Source organism: Homo sapiens, chromosome 1 (genome assembly GCF_000001405.40).
Source record: "Homo sapiens chromosome 1, GRCh38.p14 Primary Assembly".
Lineage (NCBI taxonomy): Eukaryota > Metazoa > Chordata > Mammalia > Primates > Hominidae > Homo > Homo sapiens.
In genome coordinates, this window is record NC_000001.11 from 4,896,960 (window position 1) to 4,908,384 (window position 11,425).

Sequence of the window (11,425 nt, forward strand, 5' to 3'; positions counted from 1 at the left end):
ACGAAGCTCAAAGCTTCAGACTTTTGTGTCCTGCGCTAAATTTAGCTAATCGCACCTCTGCGTTCTGTTCGCCATCCAGGACCCCTGCCATCCCCGGGAAGGACTATCGGCAGTGACAGCAATAATGACACTTTGTGCTTTCGGTTCCTCGCCTTGGATGGCTTTCAAAGGCCTCTGCCACCCTGACGTTCCCCATGTCTGTGACACCCAGCCAAGCAGGCACAGGAGGAGGACTCTGTGCTGGCTTCACAGAAGCAGGAGGGAGAGGCGGGAAGAGGCACACTTGTCCACACACTAAACACACAGTGAGGACACAGGCTGTGCTCAGCACTGTCTTCCCTCCAGGCCACGCCATGGCCACAGGGCGAGCTGCCACCTTCATGGAGAAATGGTCTCTGTGTCCATCCACTTCCTCGGTCTCTGGTGACTCAGGACATTGCCTAAGTGTAGGCTTCTGTCCCATCACCAAAAGTCATGCAGGAGCAGAATGCAGGGGATGCCCAGGATCTCCAGTGATTCTGCCCTGTGGACATCTTCTGGGAGCACGTGCTTGGCTGGAACAGTTGACTGCAGAGACACAGAGGAAATGGAGCTGCCCTAAAACCCCAAATGGCTGTTTCTTGGCTGAGTGAAGTGAAGCAAAGTGACTGCTATGGCTTGGCTCTGTGTCCCCACCCAAGTCTCATCTTGAATTGTAATCCCCAGGTGTTAAGGGAGGGACCTGGTGGAGGTGATTGGACCATGGGGACAGTTTCTCCCATGCTGTTCTCATAATAGTGAGTGCATTCTCACAAGAGCTGATTGTTTTATAAATGGCAGTTTCCTCTGGGCTTCTCTCTCCTGCCATCTTGTGAAAACTGTCCTTGCTTCCTCTTTGCTTTCCACCATGACTGTAAGTTTCCTGAGGCCTCCCCAGCCATCCGGAACTGTGAGTCAATTACACCTCTTTTGCTTTATAAATTACCGAGTCTCAGGTAGTCTCTTTATAGCAGTGTGGGAACAGACTAATACAGTAACTCAAAGTAGTTACATTAGTTTTGGATGGGAGAGGGACAGGGTTCCCTTCTCTCCTGATTTTCCTTTCATGACAGTAACATCCAGGCCACTCTCCCCACCTCACTCTCTTCTCCCCTAGAGAGGTATGCAATACCCGAGCTATGCGTTGCGAAGGAGAAGCTGGGACAAGAGGGCAGACCCTTCTTCTCCCCCTCTTCTTCCTCTTGAGAGCACGCACTTTGCTCTGATCTGCTCCCCTGTGTCACAGATTTCCTGGGTCTGCACAGCCCCGGTTGCTCCATGAGGCTGAGCACGTGAAGCTGCTCCCTGCAGGTGGAAGTGACATTCTACAACATCAACTCTGTCTTGATCTCAACATCATTTTTTAATCCATTACTTTTTTTTATCATTTCTCAAATGGTTTATAACACAGGCAGAGGAGAAATATGATATTTTATGTCCCCCTCCCACCTTGCCCCCTGTGTGTCTCAACATCTATTAGGCAGAGTTAAATGTGGATCTGAGTTATGGTTCCAGATATGTTTAACTATTTGTGTGTTTGCAATAATTCTGCAAAGAAAGATTTTTACGGCATTGAAATATAAACCAAAGAGTGGAACTCTCCAGGGGGTTGTGGGGGTTGTGAGTTGAGGTCTCTGGGCTGCAGTTTGTCCCAGGCCCACACTGTAGGAACACACACAGAGAATGCCCTGTAAGGGGAGTGGTGCCATTTGCTCTCTGCTTGTGGGGTCTTGGGAAGAGGGGGAATACCTGAAAGGGCCTATGTTTCAATTCATCCATTGAGAGCTGTCTCTCCAGGGACCCTACCAGCTCCCAGCTCATGGAAAAGCTGAGGTGAGCTGGTCCTGGAGCCCAGGTGGTTAGCATGGCCTAGGGACTTCCAGCCCATCCTGCAGGTGTGCATTACAGAGGGGCAATTCTATCTGTCCACCCCCTCACTCCTTCTCTTGGCCTTCTGTGGGCCCATGAATGGTTCTGGGCATGTAAGGATGAATGAGGCCCTGTTTCCATCCTCAAGACACTCAGGGACTCCTGCAGGAGAGAAAATGCACATAAAACCAGTATGGTCGTTATTCTATAGCTGCCCAGAAGTTCTCAAAACACAGAACAGTTCCCAACCTGGCCTCTTCTGCTGTTCCTCCAGCACTCCCACTCTGGCCACACTGGTGTCCTCCACCCTACTCGGAAGAGGTCACATGTCCCGCCCCACAGATGGCCACCAGGCAGCTCCCTCCCCTTTGTCCGGTCTTTCACTGGATGCTCTCTTCTCAAAGACCAGTCATTGCATTAGTTGGCTTGGGTTGCTAGAATAAAGCACCACAGACTAAGTGCCTTCAACAGCTGGAATTGATTATCTCGTGGTTCTTCAGGCTGGAAGTCCAAGACCAAGGTGTAGGCAGAGTCAGTTTCTTCTGAGCCCTCCCTTCTTAGCTTGTAGATGCTTTCCTCTCCCTGCATCCTCCCATGATCATTCCTGTGTGTGTGTCTGTGTCCTCATTTCACCAGTTGGATTGGATTAGAATCCACACTAATGACCCCAATTGACTCTCAGAAGACTCTATTTCCAAATACAGTCACATTTGGGGTTTGGAGCTTCAGCATTTGAATTCAAGGGGGACACAATTCAGTGGAGAGCAACCACTCAGGAACAGATAAGGCAGCCCCGGCCCCAGCATCCCAGCCACTCACCCTCCTCACTCTGCCTCCCAGGTATCACCCCCTACCCGCACCCCCATGTAAGACCCTCTCATTTGTGTGGACTGTTCACTGTCTCTCTCCCCATACTGGTTTGTAAGCTCCAAGAGGGCAGAGGTTTCCAGCAGTTTTGTTTCAAGATTCCCTGAGACCATCAACAGGGCCTGGCAGATGGCTGGTGCTTAAGGAATGGGAGTAAAATGCATGGATCCTGCATGGACAGGGAGAGGCAGGGCTGGCCCGGTGGTAGCTCAGAAGACGGGTCTCAGGCTCCTAGTCCTCAGGTGCCCAGGAGACACTGGCAGGAAGGATTGTGAGCCTCCAGGCTGAGCCAATGGCCTGGCTGTGGGGCATGGGTGGCTGATGAGCTGGGGAATGGGGAAGGGGCTGGAGATGAGGCAGGGTCCTAGGAAGCTTGGGAGACAATCCCTCCTCCAACCACAAAAGCTACAGCTGCTCCCTCTCATGGAATTTCTTTTCAGTCTGAAATGAAGACCCCTTAGAAAGGATAAAGACAGGAGCAGGGGTGCAGAGGAGACACTTATGTGACAGACAGGCCTCACTTTGGAAGGTCCAAGGGCCATCCCCTGATCGCCCAAAGGCTGCAGATGCCAAATGTCATGGTCAGGCTTGGTCACTGAGCTCTGGTCTGACTCTCCTCCTGTAGAAGGTGGCATGTTACCAAGGAATGAACCCCTTCCTTCACAGCAGCCACAACAGCAATCTCGCTCTGCAAGCTTGCACTTTGCGAACACCAGTTCTTAATGCCTCTGCAGGCCTGGGGGCTGTTTGCTCCCAGGCTCCCCCTACCCCCGTCTCACATAGACTGGGCCCACGTTCCCGGCAGATGCACTATTACTTGTGCAGCTCTTAGTTCCATACCATTCCTCCTGTATCCCTCAGCATCCAGGGGAACTTTCTTGGTCAATGCTGCCTGCCTCTGACAGTTATTTCCCAAAGAGTGGGAGCTGAGGCATTGTGGAAATCTGGGTGAATTCCCTTCACTACCAAGTCCTGCTCATGCCATCAACTTTGGGTTTCCCTGCAGTGGTATCTTAACAGACACCATTGTCCCTTTGCAGAGAACAGCCAACCCGGATTTCACATCCTGAATTAACTGTGGTGTAATGAAAAGAAACAGAACAGGAGTCCAAAGGCCTGAGAGTAATCCTGCCACATAGTACAATACTTGCTAACTATGTTGTATTAGTCCATTTCCACGCTGCTGATAAAGACAGTCTTGCTGATACTGGGAAGATAAAGAAGTTTAATGGACTTACAGTTCTACATGGCTGGGGAGGCCTCACAGTCACAGTGGAAGGCAAGGAGGAGCATGTCACATCTTACATGGATAGCAGCAGGCAAAGAGAGAGAGCTTGTGCAGGGAAACTCCCATTTTTAAAACCATCAGATCTTGTGAGACTAATTCACTATCATGAGAACAGCACAGGAAAGACCCACCACCATAATTCAATCACCTTCCACTGGGTTCTTCCCATGACGTGTGGTAATTGTGGGAGTTATAATTCAAGATTAGATTTGGGTAAGGACACAGCCAAAATGTATCATTCCACCCCTGCCCCTCCAAAATCTCATGTCCTCACATGTCAAAACCAATCATGCCTTCTGAACAGTCCCCCAAAGTCTTAACTCATTTCAGCATTAACTCAAAAGTCCACAGTCCAATGTCTCCTCTCAGACAAGGCAAGTCCCTTCCACCTATGAGCCTGTAAAATCAAAAGCAAGTTAGTTACTTCCTAGATAGAATGGGGGTACAGGCATTGGGTAAATACAGCCATTACAAATGGGAGAAATTGGCCAAAACAAAGAAGCTACAGGCTCCCATGCAAGTACGAAATCCAGCGGGGCAGTCAAATCTTAAAGCTCCAAAATAATCCCCTTTGACTCCATGTCTCCCATCTGGGTCACACTAATGCAAGAGGTGGTTTCCCACAGCCTTGGGTAGCTCCACCTCTGTTGCTCTGCGGAGTACAACCTCCCTCCCGGCTGCTTTCACAGGCTGGTGTTGAGTGTCTGTGGCTTTTCCAGGCACACAGTGCAAGCTGTCAATGGATCTACCATTCTGGGGTCTGGAAGATGGTGGCCTTCTTCCCACAGCTCCACTAGGGAGTGCCCCAGTAGGGACTCTGTGTGGGGGCTCCAACCCCACAGTTCCCTCTGCCCTAGCAGAGGTTCTCCAAGAGAGCCTTGCTCCTGTAGCAAACATCTGCCTGGAAATCCAGGCATTTCCATACATCCTCTGAAATCTAGGCAGAGGTCTCTGAACCTCAATTCTTGACTTCTGTGCACATACAGGCTCAACATCACATAGAAGCTGCCAAGGCTTTGGGCTTGCACCCTCTGAAGTCATGGCCCAAGCTGTACCTTGGCCCTTTTTAGTCATGGCTGAAGCAGCTGGGATGCAGGACACTAAGTCCCTAAACTGCACACAGCAGAGGGACGCTGGGCCTGGCCCACAAAATATTTTTTCCTCCTAGCCCTCTGGGTCTGTGATGGAAGGGGCTGCCACAATGGTCTCTGACATGCCCTGGAGACATTTTCCTCATTGTCTTGGTGATTAACATTCTGCTCCTTGTTACGTATGCAAATTTCTGCAGCTGGCTTGAATTTATCCTCTGAAAATGTGAATTTCTTTTCTATTGCACTAGGAGGCTGCAACTTTTCAAACTTTTATGCTCTGTTTCCCTTTTAAAACTGAATGCCTTTAACAGCACCCAAGTCACCTTTTGAATGCTCTTCTGCTTAGAAATTTCTTCCACCAGATACCCTAAGTCATCTCCCTCAAGTTCAAAGTTCCCCAAATTGCTAGCGCAGGGGCAAAATGGCACCAATATCTTTGCTAAAACATAACAAGAGACACCATTGTTCCAGTTCCCAACAAGTTCCTTATCTCCACCTGAGACCACCTCAGCCTGGATTTCATTGTCCACATCATTATCAGCATTTTGGTCAAAGCCATTCAACAAATCTTTAGGGAGTTCCAAACTTTCCCACATTTTCCTGTCATCTTCTGAGCCCTCCAAATTGTTCCAACCTTTGCCTGTTACCCAGTTCCAAAGTCATTTCCACATTTTTGGGTATCTTTTCAGCAATGCCCCACTCTACTGGTATCAATTTGCTGTATTAGTCCATGTTCATGCTGCTCGTAAAGACATACTTGAGACTGGAAATAAAAAGAGATTTAATGGAGTTATAGTTCCACATGGCTGGAGAGGCCTCACAATCATGGCAGAAGGTAAGAAGAAGCGAGTCACATCTTACATGAATGGTGCAGGCAAAGAGAGCTTGTGCAGGGAAACTCCTGTTTTTAAAACCATCAGATCTTGTGAAACTCACTCAATATCATGAGAACAGTGCAGGAAAGACCCGCCCCCATAATTCAATCACCTCCCAAGTGTTCCTCCCATGACATGTGAGAATTGTGGGAGTTAAAATTCAAGATGAGATTTGATTGGGGACACAGCCAAATCATATGATAAGTAATCTTGCACAATTTAAGTCCTTTTGAATTTCAGTTTTCTTATCTTTAAAATGGGGATGCACTCCTACTGGCGGATTAGCTGTGATGTTTAAAAGGGGGAACATGTGAACAGTGCTGGCACTTGAGAGACACTCAATAAAACCAAGCATTCCTTCATTTGTTCATAACATCTGAGGCTGAGTCAATACCCCCATCAAGGAACCAAGCCACAGGAGGTAATGTAGAAGTCAGGGTGGCCCTGGCCTAGGTTAGGGTGGCAAATTGGGTGGGCCACTGTGGTTTCTAGAGAATGGTGACAGGAAATTAGTCAAGGATGGCACCTCATTGCCTCAGACCACAAATAATTGCTTCTAACATTCTCCAAACTTAGAATCACTTCAAGGGGTGAGAGTGGGCCACATTTGGAACAAATTGTTAACAATAGGTGATTCATTAAACACACACACACACATAATTAAAACCTATTTAACACACATTTTATGAATGACTCTATAGCCATTAAAATAATTTTGAATGGGAATTTTCTTTCTTCTTCATTTCTCTTAAAATTTCCTAGATGATATAGGGTTTTCTATTTTTCTTTTTGGTCTCCACTAGTTTTGGTCTCTACTTACTCTTCTACTTCTTTTTATTTTGTGTTTAGTGGTTACTTATTTTAAATTTTAACATGTTTATTAGTAAGCCTAACAATATCAAACAACAATATCAAGCAATTTCTACCTCACTGGAAGTTAGAAGATGCAATTCAAGCTTTCCCCATTCCCAGTCTCACCTTTTTGTTGACTAGTATTTCAGTATCACTTTGTTTTTAAATACCCCAGTATTTAAAAAATATATATATATTTAGACATCATTTTTTAACAAAATGTATTTATTTATTTTACTTTAAGTTCTGTGATGCACGTGCAGAATGTGCAGGTTTGTTACATAGGTATACGTGCGTCATGATGGTTTGCTGCACCTATCAACCCGTCATCTAGGTTTTAAGCCCCGCATGCATTAGGTATTTGTCCTAATGCTCTCCTGTCAGTGGGTGGGGGGGACATCATTGTTTATTTAGAGTCACTGATGTGTTCACAACTTTATTTACATAGGTTTTCTTGGTTCCTATATCTTTCTTTGGGGTTTAATTTCCTACTTGTTGAAATGTATCCTTTAATATTTCTTTCAAAGAGGATTACTGAACAGTCAATAGTAAACTCAGTCTGCATCTAAAATTATCTGAAGGTAGTTTAATTGAACATAGCATTTCAATTAAGAAAGGTTGTTTCTTCATTATTTACAATTATTCTCTTGAATTCTGTCATTTTATACTAGTGAGATGACTACTTTCTGTCTTATGATTTTTCTCTTCTATTTTCTTAATCGCTTTCTTTGAGTAGAGTTTAAGATTTCCCCTTCGTGCAGTTCTGAGGGTTTTAGGATTTTCTTTCATGCTATGAGGTTCAAGCGTTTTACTATAAAGTGCCCATATGTGCATTTGTTTTATTGATTTTATGTGGGATTTTTTGAGTTTCTTCAGTCTGAGTACTCTCTTCACTTTGGAAAAATTGGCAGCCATTTTTTTTCCTCACAAGCTTCCTCTCCATAGTTTGTGTCTCTCCTTCTGGAATGCCTTTTAGATATACGTGGAAGCATTCATTCTCCCTCCTTGTCTCCTGGCAGTTTTGTGACTGTCTCTCCAGGCTGCTTCTTGGCCATCTCCTCTCATCTTCCTACTCACTAAATCTGTCGACTGAGTCCTTTCTACGAGTATCAGTTTCTGCAAGTACCATTTAGCCTGTGACAAACCTGCCAGCTAATATTTTTTGTACACTCTCTTGGGTCCTCTGCTCCTTCTGTGGTCCCTGGAAATTTTAAATTAATTATTTTAAAATCTCCCTCACCCCTCTCTTGACCTCTGGCTCCTGCAGAGCTAATCTTACTGTCATTGTACCTGCTGGGTTTGGCTTCCCTGTTCCTTTCCAAGAAGGATGTTTCTATGGTTTCTCCTGCATCCATCCCTGCTGTTATCATCACTAGCAGAAGCCTGGTTTTGATTGGGTGGCAATCAACTCAGGTAAAAATGGTCCTTCCCAGACCCCTGTGCAGCTAGCACTGGCTAGGTGACCTCCATCCAGCCCATGGTGAGTGAGGTTTTGTCCCTGCACAGGGCCTTTTTCATCCTCCCATGCAGAGGTCACCATGCCCACCGTGGCTGCCCGCCTGGGTCTTTGGTTATATGAGGCAAAACAACAACAACAACAAACAAACAAGCAAAAAAACTAAAAACCAAAAGACAAAAAACCTTGCTTGCACAATTCCAGACAGAAAGTTCTATTAATTTCTTAGCCTGGGGTGCCTGCCCCAGAGCCAAGTGTAACTGTGCTGTCATATCCCACATGACCGTGTTCAGGGTTCTCATGTCTCACCGGAGAAACTATTCCCATCCACAGTTTATACTCCTGACCATATAGGCTGCAGGCTTTCTGTGGGTAGCCCCTCTCACACCCACAACACAAGGGCTCCACAGCTCTTCTGGGGATGTTGAACCCTTTGTCCTTAGGTCCAGGGCCCACGACTGAGTGAGGCATCAGCTCCCTCCTCTCCTTGCTTCCTTTGAGCACCTTCTTCCTTTCTGACCTGTGGATTTTCCTTTTGTCTTTTTGACCCTTACTGATATTCAGCCATTTCTTCCTTTTATTTAAACTGTGAGTAAACAGCTTTCCACATCACATCTGTATTAGCCTACTCTCATGCTGCTATAAAGAACTGCCTGAGACTGGGTAATTATTAAGGAAAGAGGTTTAATTGATTCGTGGTTCCGCAGGACTGGGGAGGCCTCAGGAAACTTACAATCATGGCAGAAGGGGAAGCAAATACATCTTCACATGGCAGCAGGAAGGAGAAGTGCTGAGCAAAAGGGGGAAAAGCCCCATACAGAATCATCAGATCTCATGAGAACTCACTCACTATCATGAGAACAACATAAGGGTGACTGCCCCCTGTGATTCAATTACTTCCCATCAGCTCTCTCCTATGACATGTGGGGATTATGAACTACAATTTAAGATGAGATTTGGATGGGGACACAGCCAAAGCATATCAGCATCCATTAGCTACATTGGCCAGAAGTCTCAACAACAAGGATCTTTTATCCTCTAATAATAGCTGGAAATCGCTTCTCCCATAGAATACACAAGTGTACGGAACACACATGTTGTGCATCTGTATCACCATGGGCACTCACAGAGGCATCTCCAGGTTAAGAATCCATGTTTCAAAATGAATATTTGTTAGCATGGATGGATATTTATTTTATATTACGTTTTGTAAAGGTGGATACAAATTTTATGTGGTTATGATAGTATTTGGGAGATATACATGTGCATGTACGTTTGCCAATGTGTGCATGATCTTTACATGTACAAGTATGTGTATATGGATATTCCCAAATGCTATCATAACCACAGATAACTTTTATCTCTATCATAACCACATATAATTTTTATATTAATTTTTATGGCTTCTCCCAAATGTTAATAATTATTTGGCCAGGCACGGTGACTCATGCCTGTAATCCCAGTACTTTGGGAGGCCAAAGCAGGCGGATCACAAGGTGAAGAGATTGAGACCATCCTGGCCAACATGGTGAAACACTGTTTCTACTAAAAATACAAAAATTGGCTGGGCGTGGCGGTGCATGGCTGTAGTCCCAGCTACTCAGGAGGCTGAGGCAAGAGAATCACTTGAACCCAGGAGGCGGAGGTTGCAGTGAGCCGAGATTGTGCCACTGCACTCCAGCCTGCAGCAGAGCAAGACTCCATCTCAAAAAAAAAAAAAAAAAAGAAAGAAAAAAGATTTTATCAGGGTTTTATGATTATGTCTGTTCGGGCTGCTATAACAAAATACCATAAACTGGGTGGCTTATAAACCACATAAATATATCTTTCTCAGTGCAGAAGACTGGAGAGTCTAAGATCAAGGTGCCAGGAGACCTGATGTCTGCTGAGGGCCTACTTCCTGGTTCATGGACTGCATCTTCTCTCTCTGTGCTCACATGGTGGAAGGGATGAGGGAGGTCTCTCAGGTCTCTTTTACAAGGATGCTAATCCCATTCATGAAGACTCCACCCCTATGACCTAATCGCTCCTCAAAAGCCCCACCTCCAATCTCATCACCTCCAGGTTTAGAACGTCAATATATGCATTTTGGGGGTAACACAAACTTGCAGACCATACCTATGTGTGGCTTAGTTCTCTCCATTTATATGAATGCATTAGCTAAAAGATTATTATAACATTTATTTGTTTTGAAATACAATAGAGAGAACTGGACTTCCTATACCTTTGTAAGCTGAAACAAAACTCCCTTCCCAAATCAACACAAGCTAATTTGCTGAACTTGAGGGGATGTACTCTCAGAAAAGATCATAAATCCGTTCTAACAATCCCACCATCCCAGAGCAGGTTGCTGGTCCTCTCCATTTGGAAGCTGCAATTTGAATCCACTTACAAATCCCACAAGTAAGCCAGGTGCCATCTCCCTCAAGGGGACCTGTCACTTCCCTCCCTGAAATTGGCCTGGATGGCTTGGACGACTTCCGTAAAACCAACGTGACGATCTACCATCATGGAAAACCTTCAGAGAGGGTGGTATGCTCTCTGGAGAAAATCCCGAAGACCAAGTTTCTCTTTGGGCCACAGCATGCGTCTTTCTTCTGAGTCCCTGGAGAGGAGTGTTTTGTGGGATTTTTTTTCTGGCGCGCTCTCAGGGATGTGCATTCCATGGGGCTGCCACATCCTAGAGGTAGATGTTCTCTAACACGGGTACTAGTGCAGGGCTTGGCTCCTATCTCTGAGATGGAAGCTTGCAGGGTCTTGCGTGGGGAGCCGGTCCAGGCACCAGTCACTGTTTTATCCAGGCTCCTTCTTGCCCACTAGCTCACACAAGCTTCCAAACTCATCGTCTTGCATTAATACTCTGAGCCTCCAAGTCACCCCACATGCCCCAGATGGTGATTACTAGCCCAGCACCAGCCAATTTAGATTCAGTACGCTGACCCAGTGCCACAGAGTGTCCTATTATGACAGTGATCAGACTTTAAATGGTCTGTTTGGCCATTGAGAAGGGTCCTCAAAGGACTAATTCGGCTTTTGTTAATGAGGGCTTTTTAAAATTTCCTGGCACTGCTTTTCTTGATGTATGACGGATTTATGATTCATGGAGGAT

At 45.9% G+C, this 11,425-nt stretch overlaps 1 annotated feature.

Moving 5' to 3' along the window:
- Positions 321-491: a silencer, noted in NCBI's record as "fragment chr1:4957340-4957510 (GRCh37/hg19 assembly coordinates)". NCBI's record gives its function as "represses an EF-1alpha promoter that drives an FKBP-Casp9 reporter gene in an ReSE screen in phorbol 12-myristate 13-acetate-treated (for megakaryocytic differentiation) K562 erythroleukemia cells {active_cell/tissue: K562(+PMA)}" and the evidence as "EXISTENCE:reporter gene assay evidence [ECO:0000049][PMID:32094911]".